The following is a 22,426-nucleotide window of genomic DNA, read 5'->3' as shown; positions in this document are numbered from 1 at the left end:
GCACCTAGGCCGTAACCCACAGAAGGTTCCTTCCTACACGCGTTCTTAAATTTTGAGGCACCTCACTTTCCATACCTACTCCTGACTTTGCTTTTAAAAATGAGAATAGAAATACATACAAGACATGTTTATTTCAGAATTGTGTTTGAGCAAAATAATTATGCGGGAATAAAATCACTTGGGCAGTTATAAAAGGGGTGGAGTGAGGAAGAACAAAAGAAATGGTTTTTGTGGTGGGACGTGGGGTTGGGAAGCGTGTGGACTCACCTCTGGCATGGAGCTAACTTCGTGCACCTGGCCGATGAGCTTACAGTAGGACTGAAAAAGCAATAGCAGCTGGAAGTGTAGCTTATATAATCTCTGACACAGTTCCAATTGCTAAAGAGAGAAATTGCATGGGAAGAAACAGTTATTGTTAAAGATCATTCACATATAACTAGTGAAATCTCAATGGAGACAAACTTTTTTTTTAAATTAAGAAAACATAACCAGCTGTTATTCCAAATAAAACAGAAAAATGAAATACAGTCATTAAATAAATACCAGTGAGAAATCCACGGTATAATTTCCATTATAGTTTGTGTAATGGATGACTAATTAGAGAGTAGCACCTATAAAGGGACTGAGTGAACAACCAAATTTCCATTATATTTGCCAGTTAAATACCTACCAATTATAGCTGAGTGGTTGTCTTCATTTTTATAAGCTATAAATTATTTTTAAAAAGAAAAATTTCCTTTTATTAAAAGTATATTTGAAAGGCAAAACATTAAGTAGTTCTAGGTGTTAAACTTATAAATTCTGTAGACGCCTGGGCTTGTGTAAACCTAACAGTCAGGCTTACTGATGATCCGTCTACTCTGTGCTCAGTAAATACTTGTTGAATTAAAGAGAGATAAAAAGGGACCAAAAATGCTTAGAAAAAAAGAAATTATTAACACATTTGAAAATTTCTGTGGAAAGGACATCAAAAAGTAATCATACACGATGGCCCTTGAGCCACATAAATACCTCTCGAATTTAAAATGTTTCAGGGTCACATTTGTGCCTCTGTACCCTATAATTTGTTCATTACACAGCTTATGTATAGTATGAGGGAAAAATAACAATTCCAATGCCAGTGACAAGACTAGTCTTTGAGCTGTACCCTCTACACTTTGCCTATTTTATTCCAAGAATGAGTTTGCTCCCAGGTAGTGAGTGGATGGGATTCTGTGAAAGGAAAGGAACAGCCTTTGCTCAATAGAATTTCATGGCCAGCAGTCACCAGTGAAAGTGGATTAAATATGTGGTTTAAACTAAATGTTTCACTGTTCAGTTTTCAAATGGGGTAGGATAAATACGGCCTTTCTTTTACCAAGGACTACAAAGAATGCAGCTCAGAATCGAGAGCTTCTAAGGTGACTTAAAACTGTTTCCTCCCATCTGTTTAAGGAGAGAAATCACAAGAATTTAGGTTTTAGGAAGAATATTCTATTGGTATTATTAACAGACTTTTGATCCTAAATCTTAAAAGTTACTAAAATTCACGCTAAGACTATGCTGAATGGTTTCCTTTCTCTTCCCAGCTCTTCCCTGCTCTTTAGGGGAAAACCAATTCTGCCTAGATTCTTTGATCTCTCAATACTGGTAACAGGCCTAAGATTAAAGAAGCAGCTACACTGACTAATTAACTCAAACTGGATGTTTGGTTGTTTTAGTAAAACATTGTATTTTGTGGTTTTTAAGCTTCTCTTTAGAGAAACCTTTAAAACTCTGGTATAAAAGATAACTGCCAGAGACTTGCAAATAAATAAAAAAGTATTGTTTAAAAACAATATTACCTTCACAATTTGGGTGAAACCTAGCTATGAAAACTCTGCCTTTCCTAAGTGCCAAATCATGGTAATTATTACACAAAATATTCCACTGATAATATGATAATTCATAGCAATGTAAGTTTCTACTTTGGGGCGAAAGCAGCCCAGAATGCTACTAATAAACTGCCATGTCTTAATCTACCAAATAAAATAAATTAAAATGAGAAAGGGAGAACATGCTAAGAGATGTAACAGTAACGGTAAAAATAGGCTTTGTTATGGGTCCATGCCTAAATGGACAAAGAGTATGAAAGAAAGTTAACTTACTGCAAGAGATTCCATTTGCTACACAGCAAGCATGGCACAGGAAACAAAGGAAAGGAAAGAAAGTACAGGGTCAGTGTCTGCATGCAACAGAAAGCACGGCCCTTTTCCAAGAGCAGAACCACCAGCAGTATTAGCATTGCTCACCCAAACTTGATAAATGTTGCAAATGTCGTACCCATTCAACATGCATAGCGTTCCAGTTAAAAACAAGCTCTAATGGGAAACATATCACTGAAAAAACATAATGTTTACGTTTTTAGGTTCTCTGATTAATCAGTTTAGATTTTGTCAGTCAGTTTTAGAGACCAAAAATCAAAGCTTTTATTGCTTGAAGATTTTAGCGTATAAGTGTGCATAATATGTGAACACAGTAAAACTGAGAGGAAGCCAGCTTAGTTATTTGAAGAATTATAGCCCCAAACAAATTAGACTATTGCTTTGTATTAAGGCAGAGTCTTTAATATGTTCAGTTTCATGTCTGCTAAACTATGACCTTCCAATTAACATTGAATATAATGAACAATCTACATGGTATTTTCTTTAGTTGGATTGCCTTGCACATTGAGAATATTTTATAGGACTGCTATAATTTTTAATTTCAAAGGACTAAACATTGTATGCCCTCAAACAAGTGTGAGATATGACAGGTAATTTTCTTGCATTTTACTTTTTATAACAATTTTTTCTCCAATAGACAATTTCTTTCTTTTTTTTTTTTTTGAGATGGAGTCTCACTCTGTCGCCCAGGCTGGAGTACAGTGGCACGATTTTGGCTCATTGCAACCTCCGCCTCCTGGGTTCAAGCGATTCTCCTGCCTCAGCCTCCTGAGTAGCTGGGATTACAAGCGCGTGCCACCACGCCTGGCTAATTTTTGATTTTTTTTTTTTTAGTAGAGATGGGGTTTCACCATGTTGGTCAGGCTGGTCTCGAACTCCTGACCTCTTGATCTGCCCGCCTTGGCCTCCCAAAGTTCTGGGATTACAGGAATGAGCCACCTTGCCTGGACTCAATAGACAATTTCTAAAAGTAATCTACAACTAATAGTTAGTCTAAAATAATGAGATTTGTAACTGGGCCATGTTCAACAGCAGCTACCATCTTTTTTTTTTTTTTTTTTTTTTTTTTTTTTTTTTTTTGAGACAGAGTCTTGCTCTGTCTCCCCAGGCTGGAGTGCAGTGGCGCGATCTTGGCTCACTGCAAGCTCCACCTCCCGGGTTCACACCATTCTCTTGCCTCAGCCTCCCAATGTAGCTGGGACTATAGGCACCCGCCACCATGCCCAGCTAATGCTTTTGTATTTAGTAGAGACAGGGTTTCACCTTGTTAGCCAGGATGGTCTTGATCTCCTGACCTTGTGATCCGCCTGCCTCGGACTCCCAAAGTGCTGGGATTACATGCCTGAGCCACCGCGCCCAGCCAGCAGCTACCATTTTTTGATGTCACCATATCATAGAATTGGTTTATGGAAAGTTTGGGTATGCAGAAAGAGATAAGTAAAACTTGACAGAATGTATTTTTTTTTAAATCAAATTGACCATTCCTAATTATGCATCAACATATCTGGTTCTGAATTTTCAAAATATTTAAGGACCTAACAGTTTCTAATCCAATAAAACCCCCTTATTTTAAAGCTCTTTCAAAAAGTATCTGAGTTATCATCGGTTTAGTGTATTGTACTTGAAAATAAGGTACAGTAAATAAGAACAAATGAAACTATCAACTTATTAATTAGTATCGACAAATGTAATTAAAGGACTGCCACCAACAAGCCCTACCCTATCCTCCAAGGGTCTATTCTTCCCATACTTATCACTTGCTTATCATGTGGGGTTGGCACATTGATGCATATTATATTATGTTTACTAAGTAGTTTTTGGGACCCTGGCCATAAATTTCTTTCAAAGTTTGGAAGACAAACACCTGTAAGCCTCTGATGTGGAGACTACACAGCTTCAGGTGTTTACTATTCTCAAGAAAACTTTACATCTAAAGGTTTCTAAAACCAAACTTTCTGTTCTGAAATACAATGTCATATAAAATAGTCACACAGGGAGAGTCTTAAGTCTATATAGCCGCAGAATTTCCAGTGCGAAGACTTTTTGGACAACATCAAATATGACTGAAACGTTTAGTATGCAGTTTAGGAAGTAAACATTTGCTACTATGGGATTTACTTTTCAGAAGTGTGAAATGAAGCAAGTGCTGAGTAAATTACAAGGTCTTGTGTGAAGAAAACGGCTTTTTATTGCTTTCCAAAACGAGGTTATAATCCAAGGAGGTCATCAAATCAGTTCAAGTAAAATCTTTTCTGTTCAATAAAGGCAGAGGAAACTTTTCGACTCCAGCTTGGTGCTAAGGAATTTCATTGTCAATGAATTCCTCCCACTCAGCTCTCAGGGCACAAAACAGTGTTTTTCTTGGGAGATGGCCAACTGTGATGAATGCCAGTTCTCAGGATTCTTCCTAAACGTTCCTTTTTAGGTAGGCTAGTTCAGGCTTCCTTGATATTTATTATCTCAGAATCTTTTTGTAGGCCACAGGCTGGGACCTAGTTTGCATTTAGAGTTCCAAAAAGAGTGAAAAAAGCCTTTCTGGGGGGCCATTTTATGGAAATTATTAAAATTCCCCTTGTCCCACCGTCCCGTTCTAATGTTTTTCTGTATCCACATTCTAAAAATAATCCCTTGAGAAGTCTTTATAAACTTATCTGTGTTTTGGCAGCTTTAGGTTCTTTTGAACATGTGGGAATGTCCTTGTTTTATTTAGTCACGAGGATTTTCTTCAAGCCCCCTTCCTGCTCTCCTGATATGGCTTGATTTATAAAATTGGATTTAGAGGTATGTTTTCTCAAAATGAGGAAACAAAAGATCAAGAAGCCAAGATGTTAAGAATTTATCATAAACAATTGAGGAATGCATAGCTTTTAAAAGCCCAGAATAATTGAACTCCTGCTGATCGACAGTAGCATAGCCATATCTGGGTTCTTTCTTCTGTTCTCAGGTGGATTCTATGCTTATGACATAACCAGTCAGTAAAAATCTAAGAAACTTTTGATATGAGAGAAGATGAACCACAGTGTACTATAGTAGCTATTATTTTCATCACATTTAATCTCCAAAAGTCCTGGGTTTAAATTAATGAGATAAAATTTAAATAACCTAGCCTAATGATGAAATCTCCTAAAAGTTGGGAATAGTATGTACCCACTTGTTGCTAATAATGCTTGGGCCTGGCACATTGATGGCTATGGCATTATCTTTGTTAAGTAGTTTTTTGGACCTTGGTCATAAATATCCCTCAAAGCTTTGAAAGATAAATACACCTATGATACAGATTACACATCCTGAGACATTCACTTTTTTCAAGAAATCTGTAAGCTATCTTCAACAGACATTTCTTTAGCCAATATGAGAAAGAATATGGCTTACAGAGGAAAGACTGATTGACTATATCTGAAGGATGATGTTTAATAGATTATAACTTAATTGGAGAAAAGTCTTGTCTTGTTTAACACTTAACTTGTTCAATTTGTATAAGAACAGAGGTTGTAGGCTTCTCATTCATAGATTATGTAGATAGAAAATATATAACTGAGAAGGTTAGTGTCCAAAAAGACCCTAACAGAATGATGATTTGAATATAAGAAGATGAAATGTAGTAGGGCTAAATATAAATTATTGTACTTGAGTTCAAAGAGTCAAATGTTCAAGTAGTGCTCAGAAATATCTGTTGAATTATGAATGCATTAACTAAAATCAACAATACATCATATGGAAACATCTCCAGCTTTTCTGGGGCCACCTCTGCAGAACTGGATGATAAATTATGTTAATTAGCTATAAGGGGACTAAAGCCACTGCCTGCAGAACCCAGAGTCGAGAGGTCTGCAGACTTTGTTCCCTGACCTCCATTTATGTTCACTTAAACCTTCGACTAGTGGTCACTCCAGAATGAATTCCACAAGAGATGGAGAGGTTGGTGGAAACCAAAATCATTAGTTGGAAATGCTGATTTTAAGTCATGAAGAGATTTTTCTCCTTTTGATGTGTGCAGGCTGAGAAAACACTACTAAAGCAGTGTCCGCAAATGAGTAAAGTGTTCTTATGACACAAGCAAATCACATGCCTTGATTTATGTCCTATTTAGTGTATGCTGCACAGAGAACTGGTATTACTATCACCAAGAAGCCCAAATCATTGACTTATAATGGCTGTCTTTAAAAAAGAGCCCCAAAATATACTTCCCAAATATTGGAAATAAATTGCTTAGAAACATGGTTTGTTTTGAACATGCGCTGAGAATTTTCCTCCAACATATCCCTCAGAAAGTGAGTTCAGCAGACAGGTGCTTGCATATGCAGAGACGCTTCTTGCATATGCAAAGAATAATACTCTTTCCCGTTTTCTTTTTGGAAACTCAAGCCCCTTCTATCTAGCTTTATTCTTCATTTTGAGGACTTAGGTACAGAGAAATATTTTTCTGTTATAAGAAAAGCAATAGGCCAAACATCATGATGACTGGTGCCTGGCTCTTGCATTCAGTGTTAGGAACTCACTGGGCAGCAGGGATGGTGGAGAGTCCATATAGGGCAGTCTACACTTAGTGCTTGCTCATTATTGTCACTGAGGAAGGCAGGCCCAGTGTTGCTAGATCTTCTTATTCAGAGACACCAGGAATTCTGTTTTGAGTGTGTGTGTATGTGTGAAAGTTTTTTTCGTTGTTGTTGTTTTGTTTTTTTTTTTTGAGATGGAGTCTTGCTCTGTCACCCAGGCTGGAGTGCAATGGTGCGATCTCAGCTCACTGCAACTTCTGCCTCCCAGGTTCAAGAGATTCTCCTGCCTCAGCCTTCTGAGCAGCTGGGATTACAGGCACCCACCACTGTGCCCGGCTCATTTTTGTATTTTTAGTAGAGATGGTATTTCACCATGTTGTCCAGGAAGGTCTCAAACTCCTGACCTCGTGATCCACCTGCCTCACGCTCCCAAAGTGCTGGGATTACAGGCGTGAGCCACCACGCTCGGCCGTATGTGTGAAAGTTTTAAATTTTTAAATGCAGGGTCAGTTAATATTGTGCAAGCTTAACACAACATGTCTGTGAATTGGTTATAGTTCACAAGCCACCAGTGCATAAACTTTCTTTGTTATACTTAGGTCTACAACTTTATGTTAAGAATAGAAGAAAAACTAGAAAAATAAATATTCAGCACCCAACAAAGATATATATTGTCTTTCACAAACAATTCTATAGCAATCCTCACTTAAATCACCTGTTAAGAATGATTAGGAATTTTCTACTGGCAAAGACCGGACCAGACTGGGTAGGGCTTGGGGGTTGAGAAGCTTTCATATGCCTGTCTGTACACTGTCACCATCTCTGACAGACTGATATCTTTATTCAAGAATTTACTTTGCTAGGTTTAGTCGGGTAAGCACTAATCCTTTCATGAAGTGCACACTTCTTTGAAATAGAACAGATATGAGTAATAATTATTGGTATATTCATATTGCTATTTATATCCTGACATAGATTCTGCAAGTTATAAGTTCACTTATCCCCATTCTACCTGTCCCCAGGCAAGGGTGTGCTCAGAGTAACTGGCAACATCAAATCATTCCAGAAGACAGAGAACCTGATTACACAGGAGTGTTGGAGAGAATCACTTAGAGGTAAGCTAAGCAGTGCTCTGAGGCCAGACATTTGTTGGGTTTTGTTTTGGGTTGGAGGCCAAATGGTAGCTCTAGTCAGCAAAATTATATCTCCACATCTCTAGATATAAGATCTTAATATTTAAGTGGAATGACACCATCATTCCTCCTCAAGGCCTACCTTTTGTGTGTAAGGACTCAGTTTTCTCTCACAGCCCATTTCCGGCCTTGTCGAGTGTTAACCTATGATGGGAACCGAGGCTGCCTGATTTGTGTACTCTGCATGGTGCCTAGCCATGCCTCAAGGCTGGTGGCATTAGAAAGTGTGAGGTTTGAGCTGCATGCACAGTGGCCAGACTATTTCCAGGATCTACTAACCAATTAAAACAGAGAATAACTGTAACCAAGTATCCAGACGACTTAAACAAATCTCCCCGCCTTGCCTGACTTACTAGGATTGCCAACTTCTTTTGTTAGGTGGCATATAATTTGCCTTCCAGATCAACCACAGACTCCAGAATTGTTACACATGTAGGCCTGGAAGCATCTTCCTCAGGACATCTGGTCACTGCTTGAGTTCTCTGGTTACCAGTGTGTCCATGAGCCATTTGGAAATATTCTGAAACACTGAGCTAATACTGACAATGGGGCCAAAGCTTGGTTGGTTTTTGCAAAAACATTGGAAACACCAGACTCAGAATTTGCCCTTCCATCATTCCGTTCCTAGTAAATCCCACTCTCATCCCTCTTGGGTGTTTTATGCATCTTCCCTCCTTATTCATGCAGATTCCTAAAGCCATATTAGACATTTAGACATATGCTGGGAATTATTCTTGAGTGTTTTCCCATGTGTATGTTTTGCTTCCAAAATTAAGCTAGAGAAAGTGTGGACAAATGGAAAGAATATGGCCTTTAGACTTTGCCTCTCAGCTTCAGTTTTCTTAGTTGCAAAATGGAAAAACCCTTATTTCAAAGGACTGTTGTAAAGGATCAAATGAGATTACGTGTGTACAGTACTTGAAAACATTAGTTTCTTCTTTCTACTTTTGTACTCTCAAGCCTTTATAGTAATGCTAACAGAGTTGTCACATCTAAACAAATGAATAAATAGGTGAACTCTATTTTTTGAGTCCTTGGGTTTAGTAAAAACATAAGAAAAGAGAGGGAGAGGAATAAGTACTACAAAATAGAAGCAAAGAAAGAGGTGCACGAATAGGAAATGAGTAAAAACAATAAGCAAAAATAAGATAAACATTTGTTTGAGGAAGGTAAAGAAGAACCAGGAAGAAAGGAGGGAGCAACTAATACCAAGTAAAACAACTTAATAGAAATAAACCACAAGCACAACAGAAATACGTATTTTAAAGTTGGAATGTTTGGGAAATAGGATAAGTTAACTGGAATTTCTGGTTATCCTTAGGGTTAACCCGGAAGCTATAAAGAAACAAACAAATAAATAATAGATTTGGTTTCAACTCTTGTTCATAAAAGTCTGCAATGTATTAATGTGCTTTCCTGTCTGAAGTTCTGTTACAGAGAATATAACAGAATTTGATGATTGAGGACAAGTTTTCAGATAACAAGTTGTTTTTTACATACTACTATACAAACTATACTATGAGCTGGATTCGATTTGTGCTCAATGTAAATCCTAACCTGATATAACTGTTCTCTGGACTGCATTTGTCTTAACAGCAGATTATAGTGAAGGGAGGACTGGGCTGGAAAGACAAGCCATGAGTACTACTGGGTGGCCATAAAATCTGAAACCTAGGTAATACTTCATTTTTTAAAAATATATTACTTCTGGGATATGCTAACGGCACAGGTTATTCAGTGAAAATCTAAGTCACAAATCATCTGAGACAGGACATCACAGATGCATATATAGGGATTGAGGGAAATGCTGGAGTTTATTGTGATTTTTGAACTGTATATTCAATTCTGTTTGCTTATGGGAGACATTATGTAAGTCATTAAACACTTATTTTAAAAATATATGCAAACTAGTTATTATTTGCCTATGTTGACAGACTTTGTGTCCAAGCTGCATCTCTGCCTGTCACTTCTCAACCATGGAGCCTTGGATAAGTCAAGCTGTGGTGTCTTCAGCTATAGAACGGGCAACTGCTATGGCCCTGCTTCCCATCCAGAGAGAGCAAATGACTTAAGGGGTGTGAAAGTGCTCTGTAAACCATAAAGTGAGATATAAATGTGCGTCTTCAAGAAGGGCAGCAATGTGGAAATGCAACCTCTACTTCAATGCCCTCTTTAGAAATTTCTCAGCTTTATAGTTTGCTTTTCAATGTCTGATCTCTTCACTAAAACTTATCAAGGGGCTTACCAAGGGACTCAATCAATGCTGGCATGGACAATGTTACTCTCAGGACTGCAAACTTGCTCAATAACAAATACCAAATTGGAATGGAACCACTGGTGTTTGGTTGAAAATGTTCACTCCAAACCTCTGACCAGAAACCAGACTTTACTGGATTCTTTTTACGTAATAAAGTACTGTTTCTAACACAGGAAGATGTTTTCAGATCCTCCAGAGGGTGTGCCATGTAAAACACTTTTCCAGTAGTAATGACATAATTCCGAGGTAAAACCTTCTCTCCCTAGATGGGGCAGCAGCCTCCTAAGTTCCCTGAACCACTCTTGCCACTTTGAGCTGTTTCCACAGTAGACAGAGTGGGAGAGCCTTGATCTAATCATCCCCACTGTTAATCCTTTTCAGTTGCTTATTATTGCTGTTAAACACCAAAGCCCTGCATGGGCTTCTTCTGCCAACTTCTCCAGACTCTTCTCAACCTTTTCTCCACAGGGCTTTCGGTGCTTTCAGCCACATGGGCTCTCCTTGGTTCTTGGAAAGGCCTGGTTCCCCTGCCTCCGGGCCCTTACGCAGACTACAGGCCCACTCCTCTTCATCTCATATTTTAGATCTCTGCCAAGATGCTACTTCCATGGAGAACCCTTCCCAGAGCCGCCCTCCCCATCGGATCAGGCAGCCTTGCTCTGTGATCTCTCAGCTTTCTGTTCTTTCCTGTCCTTGATGGTCCTTGTTGCAGTTAATAGCTGTATGACTGTTTCATTAATGTCTGTCTCGCTGACAAGATCAGAAGCTCCACAAGAGCAGAGGCCTTGTCTGTTGCTCATGAGTGTGTCCTCCATGGGGCCATACAGGAGGCACTCAATATGTAACTGCAGAATGAATGATTTTCATCCATTCTTACTCTGTCCTTTAATTTCCTTTATAGTACGGCACACTGGACTGAGGTGTGTAGCAATTCTAAATGAGAAAATCTGTTTTAGAGTGACTGCTGAAAGGTTGAGAGAAACTTCCTTCATTAAAGAAACTAAGTGGTTCAGTGAAGAATTAATGAAATTTGGCCTTATAATCTGAATTAAGAATAAATTTATTAGGAAATTATTAGTATAGTTAGACAGTATCCAGCAAAAAAGGTTATTTTATACCTCTACTTTTCCAAAACGAAGAAACCTCCCCACAAATCCCATCAACACACAGTCATGCTGGAAGGCATTCTGTCTTACTCTGTTGGTTTCATGTAAATGTTTGGGGTGACTCATTCCGCCTCTTCTTTTCTCAAGTTCCAGGCTTCTTGGGTAGACCAAAACTAATACACAATGTTAGAGCACACAAGAGACCCATTCTAACAGGCTTTTATTACCTTTTCTTCGGAGTCCCCTGGTTGACAGGTAATTACTCCATCTCTTGATCCCCCTGCAAATGTTGCCTTACAATTTGCAAGCCACTGTCAGAAAGAGAGGGAAAGACATAGGTAAATTCAGCAATGTTCTGAGAACATTTTTGGTATAATTCCATTAGGAAAAAATTCATTAAAGTTCTAATAATAGTAAAATGAAATTGTGCTGTAATGACTTTTTGAAAAGGGTCGTATTTGGGGGTTAAAGATGAACTGTTGGAAATTAAAAGTATCTGTTTATATGGGTTCAGTAATGGTCATCTAAAAACACAATTTCAATATTATACTGTGTTGCCCTAGGGAATGGTTTCACCACACTGTTTCTAATTTATGTGTAAATGAATATATATGGCTAGAAATCTTCCATACAATTGGGGTTAGAAGACAGGACCAATACTTCCTCACAGGCTGGGTGATTCTGGTCAACATGACCTGACTTGGACACACCTACTTCTGTCATGCTGCGGTGGCTGCATCTGCTATGGGGCAGATCTCCTTCACTATAAGAAAGGCTATTATGGTAATAGCTCAGCTACTGAGAGATCCTGCTAGTCTTAAGCATCTGGGGTAGTAACTAACACAGGTGTGAAAGGGAACCTTTCAGCAGAAAACAATGAGCACTGAGGAACTGAAGTTCACACTTGACATTAAAGGCTAGATTAGTTCACCAACCAGAATAAAAAGATTACTTTTACTGGGTGATGACTGAGAAGCTGAAAAGAGTGGCAGGTAAAAGGCCACAGAAACAGAAGACAAAGCTAATTGTTACGGTGGAGAGTTTGAACTCTTGCCCTTGGGCAGGTCAAGATAACATCAATAACAGCAATAGCAATAAACAAACCCCAAACCATAACTTTACAATGAACATTTTCTTTCTATGTGGCATTGTGCTGGTCAGTTTACAGATATTATTTCTGTTTTCAAGGCAATATCATGATGTGGTTAAGAGCGTGGGCCTTTGAATCCCACAGCTCTGGGTTTCAATCCCACTCTTCCAGTTCCTAGCTAGCTAATGAGGGTAACAATAGCAACTCTCAGGGTAGTTGTGAGCATTAAACGATATAATTTAAGAGATTTAACTCTTAGCAGATTGTTGGACACATAAAAAGGACTCAGGAAATGATAGCTGCCATGACTATTATAATTGTTATATCTTCACAACAATCCTGCAAATTAGTTATTATTACCAAGGGCTTACAGATGCTGCATCTGAGATGAGAGACGGCAAGTCACTTATTCAAGGTCACTAACCGTTAAATAACTGAGCTGTGATTTAAACTGAAGTCAATCTGACTTCAAAACCCTTGCTTTTTCTATAGTACCTGGCATACTATAGGAAGGGCTTAATACATACTACATACAATTAATTATTCTTATTATTGAACCACTGACTTCTCTGGGCCTCCACCTGTGCATCTGTCAGAAAACAGGTGGCTTGCTTGGATGGTTTCTAGATCACTCTGTCTCTAACATTTTGTGATCTAGATCTATGAAGAAAGAAAAAAGTAAAGAGCAAGAGCTGAGGCCAAGAGAAGCCCTGGGGACTGGCAGACGCAGCCTCCAAGAGTGGCTAAGAGAACAGGGAGGAGATCTGCCACAACTAGTTTTGGGTGAGGCTAACACTGGAAGGAAATAATCACCAATTTCAAATATCTGAGAAAAGTTGTAACTTTGGTAAGTAACATATCAAGTACATACCCATTTTTTTTTCCAATTTCTTGGTAGGGCTAAAAGTGAATGCTGAAAAATTTCTCTTTTGTAGATACCATTTGTAATATAATTAATATTGTATACAGTTCTACCACCATTAAATTGGAATTGTAATCCTTAACAAAGGAAAAGATGAAGTCTGAAAGTCTTAAGTTAATCACAACCCCGCCCAAGAACTCAGAGTGGTTGGGTTCATTTGGTTTTAACTGACTGCATATGCATAGAAACACAAAAGCTTACAGAGAGTGTGGCCTCTTTCCTGTTGTTGTAGGTATCCAAATATTCTTGCAGTTCTAACACACTGAACTTGAGCTTGTCCAGAAGTCCACATGAAAGGAGCTAAAGACAGGAAAATAATTGGTATTAAAACTAGAGAGATACCAACACAAAGGCATGGCTACACAGAAAACAGAAGTATATTTAGAAGTGCTGTTAAGGGGTACAAGTGTCATCCATTTTAATAAGCTGTGAAATTTGGAATTTTGCTCAACTATCAGCTGCAATTACAATTGAATCCGAGCTTGATAATGCACACCTCCTATGAAAACGTCCATTCTTTCCCATATTAGTATAGGCAGATAAGACATACCAAGTATTTCATAAAGGCCCACACTAAGATATGTTTTCCATTTTATACACGACTTCTACTGTCATCACCCAATAATACTCCAAGCAGTGTGAAGACAAACCTCCAAAAAGACTTTCAAACTTATTTTGTATTTAATCTATACCTTAAGTCATTTAAGACAGAATGACTTTTCATATTGTATTCTTTGCTATAAGACAGCCACCAAACAGATTCTTGGAAGGACTTGACTCTTCAGAGACTTTTAAAATCAAAGCACATCCTCACTGGTTCTAAACCTCAGTAATTACTGAGCATGTGATGATTCTGTCATATCATGGGGGCTAAAAAAAAAAAAAGGTATCACACAACTCCCACCCTCCAGGAGCTCGTCAGTCTCGCATGGTTAGAGTTCCATGTGTAAAGCCATGAATTACCGTCAGCCAGAGACTGTTTTGATTATCCCTTAAACTCATCATTTGCAGTTTGAGCTGGGCAAATCCAGAGGGCAATAACTCTCTGTTAGAGACTTGGGGGTGGGGAAACTGATTGACATGTTGCCTCTGAAGACCCATCCGACTGGGCAACCTGGCATCATGGGCACCGGCTAGGTCAGCTCCAGGAGGTTATCTGACCATATATGCACAGCTGTCAAAGTCAGAGTCATCAGAGATCAGTGCCAACGATGCAGACGGAGCAGAGGTGGTGGATTTTTCTCCTTATTCTATGAAATAGCCCTGCCTTGGCCTGGACTGGCCATATGCAGTATTTATATTGCAGACCTTTGAGAGTCATATCACAATACAGTGCTGCTCACAACACTGAAGGTATCTTTATTTTTTTATTTTTTGAGACAGAGTCTCGCTCTGTCGCCCAGGCTGGAGTGCAGTGGTGTGATCTCGGCTCACTGCAAGCTCTGCCCCCCGGGGTCATGCCATTCTCCTGCCTCAGCCTCCCGAGTAGCTGGGATTACAGGCGCCTGCCACTACACCCGGCTAATTTTTTTTTTTTTTTTGTATTTTTAATAGATACGGGGTTTCACCGTGTTAGCCAGGATGGTCTCGATCTCCTGACCTTGTGATCCGCCCACCTCGGCCTCCCAAAGTGCTGGGATTACAGGCTTGAGCCACCGCACCCGGCCAGAAGGTATCTTTAAAACAAACCACAGCGCAAACATGCTACCCTGAAGTTCTGCACTGTAGGTTGCGTAGGCCCTTCACTGTCAGAGCAGGACTGGGATACTCACAGTCTCGGCATCCACAAAAAGTGTAGGACATTCAGAGCAGGAGGTGAGCATCTGGGAAGAGCTGACAAATTTGGATCCGATTCCCCGGAGGTTATCTCCAAGGTAACTGGCTGCATCACAGGTTAGGAAGCAGAACCTTTTCTGAATATTCTGCAAGGCAAAATAGTGACCATTTGTAAAGGTCAAGTTAAACTTATATATGATAAAACATATTTTGGGGGAGGGGTAGCTTCTTTTTTTATATTCCAATTACATTAACTGATTTTTTTTTTTTTTTTTTTTTTTTTTGAGACAGAATCTCGCTCTGTCGCCCAGGCTGGAGTGCAGTGGCGCGATCTCGGCTCACTGCAAGCTCCCCCTCCCAGGTTCACGCCATTCTCCTGCCTCAGCCTCCCGAGTAGCTGGGACTACAGGTGCCTGCCACCACGCCTGGCTAATTTTTTGTATTTTTAGTAGAGACGGGGTTTCACTGTGTTAGCCAGGATGGTCTCGATCTGACCTTGTGATCCGCCCGCCTCGGCCTCCCAAAGTGCTGGGATTACAGGTGTGAGCCACTGCGTCTGGCCCTGATTTTTTTACTTGACATAAAAATTGTATATGTTTACTGTGTACAACATGTTGTTTTAAAATATGTGTATGCTGTGAAATGGCTAAATTGGGCTAATTAACATGCATTGCCTCACATTTTTTTTGGTGGTGAGAATACTTAAAATCTACTCTCAGCAATTTTCAAGAATATCATACACGATTATTAATGGAAAAAACCCTACTTTTAAATCTTTATAAAAATATCGCATGAGAATGGGTCCTTAGGGTAATGGGGGAGGGGAGCAGAATGAATGTTTATGTTAAATCAACTAAGTAATCATTCAGTGTGGACATTTCTTCCTGAAATACCATTTCCCAATGCGTGGATGCTTGTGCAGGTTGAGTATCCCTTATCTGAAATGCTTGGGACCAGAAGGGTTTCGGGTTTTGGATTTTTTCAGACATGAAATACTTGCAGATACATAACCACTTAAGCATTTCCTTTGAGTGTCACATTGGCACTCAAAAAGTTTCAGATTTTAGAGCATTTTGGATTTTTGGATTTGGGATGCTCAGCCTGTATAATCTTTTTGACCAACACTGTTTTTGTTTTTGCTGTGGTTAGTGCCAGTCAGAGTCTGAGTTTTCCTTGCGTGTTTGTCAGACTGGTGAAAAGAGATTACTTCAATGTGGACAAGATGAAAAAGGTCAAAAGGCGTAACTCTTTTCTGCTTCCCAAGATCAGAGCTCCTTGAGACAGCACGGAAACTGTGCATTTGAGCCTCTGAAGAGTAAAGTAGTAAATGCTGAATGGGACCTCTCTTGCTCTGAGGGCACGTCTGGTCAGGTGTCTCAACTGAGCCTAATTCTGTCTTAGAGCTTAATGTACATCACTCATTAATCCTCATCACCGGATGAACAATCTGAGGTTAAGAACAGTTAGGCCGGGCGCGGTGGCTCACGCCTGTAATCCCAGCACTTTGGGAGGCCGAGGCGGGTGGATCACGAGGTCAGGAGATCGAGACCATCCTGGCTAACACGGTGAAACCCCGTCTCTACTAAAAATACAAAAAATTAGCCGGGCGAGGTGGTGGGCGCCTGTAGTCCCAGCTACTCGGGAGGCTGAGGCAGGAGAATGGCGTGAACCCCAGGGGGCGGAGCCTGCAGTGAGCCGAGATTGCGCCACTGCACTCCAGCCTGGGCGACAGCGAGACTCCGTCTCAAAAAAAAAAAAAAAAAAAGAACAGTTAAATGACTCGCTTAAGGTCATGCAACTAGTAAGTGAATGAGTAAGGACGGGTCTGACTCCAAAGTTTACAATCTTTCCATAATCTCGATTGCTTCCTAAGGTTACTGCTCCTCCTACACTACCTGAGGGGAAAAACAAAAAACAAAAAACACAATTAAGAAGAATCTGATTCACTGTGCCTGCGTCAGTGCCAAAACAAGAACACTTTTTTGGGAGGCCGAGGCAGGAGGATCACAAAGTCAGGAGTTCAAAACCTGCCTGGCCAACATGGTGAAACCCCGTCTCTGCTAAAAAAAAAAAAATACCAAAAAATTAGCTGGGCACGGTGGTGTGTACCTGTAATCCCAGCTACTTGGGAGGCTGAGGCAGGAGAATTGCTTGAACCCGGGAGGTGGAGGTTGCAGTGAGCCAAGATCGCGCTACTGCACTCCAGGCTGAGCAACAGAGAAAGACTCCGTCTCAAAAAAAACCAACAAAAACCAAAACAAACAAACAAAAAAACACTTTTACCCCCCTGAACTTCTAGTGCACAATGTTTTTTGTTTTGTTTTGTTTTTGAGATGGGGTCTTGCTCTGTCACTCAGGCTGGAGCACAGTGGCACAAACATGGCTCACTGTAGCATTAAAGTCCTGGGCTCAAGCAATCTGCCCACCTCAGCCTCTCACGTAGCTGGTATCACAGGCGTGTGCCACCATACCCAGTGACATTTAGGGGATGTAAATTCAGTTTTGTTTTCTTGTGAATTCCATCACACATTATATAATTTGGTGACATTATGTGACACATGATGATGACATTCTCACATATGAGTAACAAGAAGAAAACACAATGACTGAGACACTTGGAAAAATGTCCATACTGTACCGACAGAAACCATTCCCTTGTTTTTAAAACCAAATTATTTTCACAGTTACCTCCTCCCTACCTCTTCCAAAATCCAACCTAACACGGAAACATTGTATTCACACTTACAGGGAAATGTTGGGAAACAGTAAACACACATTGTGAGGAAATGACAAATGATTCATAACAGGCAGAAAGCAGGTCTGAAATGTATTTCATTTCCAGCATATTTTAGTAATGCCTATTTTGCTTCAAGTATTACTTTCATATAGCATCTGATCAGGGTTGAGAAAGTTCTCAAGTATAAATGTAACATTAAAAAGCAAAATAGGAGGTATGCATTTTAAAAAATTATTATATTATTATTATTATTGCAGATAAGCTCCATAGGGTGATTGATTTAATATATTGATGAAAAAGAAATTCAAATCCAAATGAGTCCCCCCAGGGCCCATGCCTGGCCCCACCTTCCAGCTCATTTGCATTTTAATTTTTAGTACTTTCTTCTCCCTCTTTCCACAACCACTTTGCTCTCTGGACAGTGGATGCTGTGAAACCTGAACCCACTGCCTTGCTGCTGGAGTGGCGAAAGATCCTAGAGAGTTAACTGTTACCAGACAACAAATGGCACATCAGCCCCTCTCAGGGGAAGGGGTCATCTTCTGCGAGGACATTGGATGGGATATCTGAGGCCTTTCACTCCTATAGCCACTTTGTTCTCTTTAGGTCTCTCTCCTGCAATCTGAGTATTCTCTCAGAAGTTGCTAGAGAGTCCCCAGTGGAGGTGGCTCATGGTGTGCAGGCAGGGCTGCAGAACTCTCTGTGGTGGGCAGTCAGTCACTTCTGGACTGTCACCAGAGGATCCAGTCTCTGTGGCGGGGCCAGGGCCACAAAGAACATGCCAATGACCATAGGGAAGAGCAGCCAAATGGGAGCAGCCAGCCTGTGCTGACGGCTTGCTAGATGCATGGCTTGAGGTGTTTCTCCATGTGAGCTCTCATAAGTAGTCTTTGAAAGATAAAACTCATAGACACTGTTTTCACTTCCATTGTATGATGGAGGACACTGAGGCTTGGAGAACTTAAGGACTGTCTGCAGGCCTAGCAGGCTAGTAAGTGGCCAGAACTGGGATTTGAACACAGGTAGGTTCAAAGGCTAGTCTGACTTCACTGTACTCCTTTTCCACCTGGAAATCACCATCCCATACAACTCTTTTCTCTTTATGTCTCACCAGCATCTCAACTGGTGGGTTGCCAGGTGCCAGGCAGGTAGAGGGTGGAGAAAGAGCCTCCCTTCTGCCTTCCTCATGCTACCTGCATATCTGGGTAGGTGGGAGAGGAAGTCAGGCTGAATGGTGGCCGCAGCTGTGGGCCATGGCTGACCTGTCGGTCTTGGTAATGAACCCGCTGGTCTACTGACATGAAGTTAGAAGCTGTGTGTTTAAGGTTTCCATTTATTCTTCCTACATTTACTGAGCACCTAGTGTATGTTGCAAACTGTCAGAAATCAAGGTGAGCAAGGCACTGTTTACCTGCCCTCTTCACGGGAGACAGACACCAAAACAAGTTATTATCATATAGAGTCACAAGTGTAACGGATGCAAGTACAAAATCCCGAGATGCCAGGGGAAGGGAGAAAGAAGTAACAGAAGGCTTTACTAACTGAAGTGACACCCAATCAGGGCTTTGAATGTAACTGGGAGTGTAGCCCAGGGACAAGGGGAGATGACCGTTCTAGGCAGAGAGAAAGTATTGTGCAGGACTGTCAAATTAAGCATGAATAATCCAATAACTCTAATAAAAATGACCATAACAGCCAAACTTAAATATATATTATTAATCATTCTTTAAAAATAGCTTTTAGAGGTCGGGCGCCGTGGCGCATGCCTGTAATCCCAGCACTTTGGGAAGCCAAGGCAGGTGGATCACCTGAGGTCAGGAGTTTGAGACCAGCCTGACCAACATGGTGAAACCTTGTCTTTACTAAAAATACAAAATTAGCTGGGCGTAGTGGTGCATGCCTATAATCCCAGCTACTCGGGAGGCTGCGGCAGGAGAATCGCTTGAACCTGGGAGGTGGAAGTTGCAGTGAGCTGAGATCGTGCCATTACACTCTAGCCTGGGCAACAAGAGTGAAACTCCATCTCAAAAAAAAAAAAAAAGCTTTTAGAAAAATATAACTAATAAGTTGCTTTGCCTCTCAATCCTTAACATTAAATTTACCTCAAATAGTAGCTTTCTGGTAGTTTGCCTTAAAATTTCAATCTGGTTTAATGTTTAAAGTATTTCTAGAATTCTTATCTTTTAGCAGCCAATTGTTTTCTGTCTTAAGCCTAACATCTCCTCCAGCCCCAAGTTAATCTCAGACATGACATTAATTTACCCATTCAAGTTTCTACTAGGTTTTCAGTTAGAGTAAATTGAAGAAGTTGAAAGAGCACTACAAGTAAGACTCCAAGTGAGCTAGTCCAAGTAGCTATCTGCACTACTGGTATATAATTCTCCAAAAATGGATTATAAGAAGGGCCTCCAGGCTCAAAAGCAGAGTTCACTTTTATGTTAACTAAACATATGTCATCCTGAATTTGAAATTATTTAACTTAGATTATTTCAGTTTTGCCTAACCTTCTGCTCACTAGAATAACAGATTAATAAGTTATCTTTTTTTTTTTTTAAAATGGAGATGGAGTCTCACTTTGTTGCCCAGGCTGGAATGCAGTGGTGCGATCTCAGCTCACTGCAACCTCTGCCTCCCAGGTTCAAGTGATTCTCCTGCCTCAGCCTCCCGAGTAGCTGGGATTACAGGTATGTGCCCCATCACGCCTGGCTAATTTTGTATTCTTAGTAGAGATGGGGTTTCACCATGTTGGCCAGGCTGGTCTCGAATTTCTGACCTCAGGTGGTCCTCCCACCTCGGCCTCCCAAAGTGTTGGGATTACAGGTGTGAGCCACTGTGCCTGGCTGATTGGCCTGATTCTTAAGGGTTACTAAGCAGGAGGCACCTTCCCATACCATAAAAAGAAATTGCAATGTACAGCAACCTGCTGCAATGCCATTGACCTCAGAGCTGAACTGAGGTCAAGTGACACTGGCTACTGAAATGCTGAAATGATATTTTAAGGCAGATTTACCTATGGAGTCTCCTACTCCCCAAGACTTCTTAACAACCCATTTAAGAGGGACATAATTTTAGTTTTGCACTTTTGATATATCATTCCTTATTTTCCTGCCTTTCCCGTCGGCCATGGCTCTTCCTGAAGGTGATTAGAGGGCTCCTTCCCTCAGTCCAACTAAATTATTGTCCGTCTTCCATGAGCTACTCAACAGAACTCAACAGCTACACAAGTTTAACTAGATTCTAACTGTTCTGTCTGGTCATTCATTCAAAATTCAAGTCTATTCAAAGTTGGAACTAGATAGTTCCTTTCCATTTTTTTCCTTTGCATTATCCGTGGGAGTTCTGTCTAATGAGTTATTAAAAATATGCTTAAGAAAATGCTGAAAGAAAAGCATTTTTTATTATAGAAAAACAGGAAATTGGCCAGGCATGGTGGCTCATGCCTGTAATCCCAGCTACTCGGGAGGCTGAGGCAGGAGAATCGCTTGAACCTGGGAGGCAGAGTGAGCTGAGATCATGCTACTGCACTCCAGCATGGGCGACAGAACAAGATTCTGTCTCCCCACCCCCCCAAAAAATAGGAAATTGAAAAAAAGTAAAAAGAAGGAAATAAAAAACACCCCAAATATCATTACCGTGAAAAGATACAATGATATTCTGGTGTATAATTTTCATTATTTTCTAGGCATTTTAAAAAAAGGAATACTAATCTAGATATATATATATATATATATATATATATATATATTTTTTTTTTTTTTTTTTTTAAACTAGCTTTCTCTTTAACTATAATATGGTAACCATAGTTCCACATCAACAAATCTTCCCCTACAACCTCATCTTCGTAGCTTCCAGGCCTCATTATTCCCAGCACTGCCATTTTCACGGTCAATATCTGCTTCAAGCTCAGACATAGGTCTAGTTAACTGCAATGGCCTTCAAAGAGCTCTGATGTTTCTTCACAGCAAGGCATGTTTCTCTCTTTTGCCACCTCCTCCCCCTGCCAATTATTTGATGAAATTTGGAGGACAAAAGTTTACAGAAAGATGCATAGAGGAGTTAATGGGAAGCAGTCATTGTAAGTATGTTATGAGGTAACAAGCGAGATTTAAGCGTGCCCACACATGAGACTGCCACAGAGAGCTGTGTGCAAGATGCTAGGGTGTCTGGCTGAGGGATTGGAAGTGGGGTTGGAATCCCACCTGCACTCTGCTGGCTAGGTGTGGTACTGCACTCCTCTGGAGGCAGGGACATTCATTACAGTTTGCACAAAGACACTATGGACAGTGGGGCTGTGGTTCACACGGGAGAGGCAGTAGTTAGACTGGCCTGATTCTTAAGGGCTACCAAGTAGGCGGCATGTTCCCATTTCATAAAACGAAATCTGCAGTGCACAGCAACCTGCTACAACAGCAAGAATGACTTTTCATCTGTTCAAAAGCAACTCAAGGGAGTAAACAAGTGTTCACAGCTATGGCTGGCATGCTAAGGAATTCATAGAGTGGGAAATGAGAAAAGACAAGGAAAGGAAAGATAAAAATAATAAAAACAAAAGAGAGGTAAAGGGGGGTGGGATGGAGGATAGGCCTGGCAGAAGATTCCCTTAATGGTCCTGATGTCATGGCTGCTGAGGACTGGTGATGTCAGTAACACCAAGAGATGCAGGAAT

General features: G+C 40.4%; 1 protein-coding gene across 6 annotated transcripts in view, besides 1 other annotated feature; it reads right to left on the bottom strand.

The window, feature by feature from the left end:
- The window catches only part of FRY (FRY microtubule binding protein), a 267,352-nt gene that overhangs the window by 9,115 nt on the left and 235,811 nt on the right, over positions 1 to 22,426 (bottom strand). For 4 of the 6 annotated variants that reach the window (XM_047429999.1, XM_047430000.1, XM_006719749.4 and 1 more), the window contains 5 exons: positions 15,020 to 15,169; positions 13,449 to 13,547; positions 11,463 to 11,546; positions 2,127 to 2,144; positions 268 to 378 (listed from right to left, as the gene is read on the bottom strand). In XM_047429999.1, the coding sequence (XP_047285955.1) occupies positions 268 to 378; positions 2,127 to 2,144; positions 11,463 to 11,546; positions 13,449 to 13,547; positions 15,020 to 15,169 (462 nt within the window). The remainder of the gene's footprint in view (positions 1 to 267; positions 379 to 2,126; positions 2,145 to 11,462; positions 11,547 to 13,448; positions 13,548 to 15,019; positions 15,170 to 22,426) is intronic. The other 2 variants (NM_001411012.1, NM_023037.3) reach the window with 1 other exon arrangement.
- Positions 21,943 to 22,002: a silencer, noted in NCBI's record as "silent region_5246". NCBI's record gives its function as "represses an Ori minimal core promoter by ATAC-STARR-seq in GM12878 lymphoblastoid cells {active_cell/tissue: GM12878}" and the evidence as "EXISTENCE:reporter gene assay evidence [ECO:0000049][PMID:35858748]".

This window comes from Homo sapiens, chromosome 13 (assembly GCF_000001405.40).
Source record: "Homo sapiens chromosome 13, GRCh38.p14 Primary Assembly".
NCBI classification, from domain to species: Eukaryota; Metazoa; Chordata; class Mammalia; order Primates; family Hominidae; genus Homo; species Homo sapiens.
The sequence above is the reverse complement of the archived record's forward strand: the minus strand, read 5'-3'. Positions and strand labels throughout refer to the sequence as shown.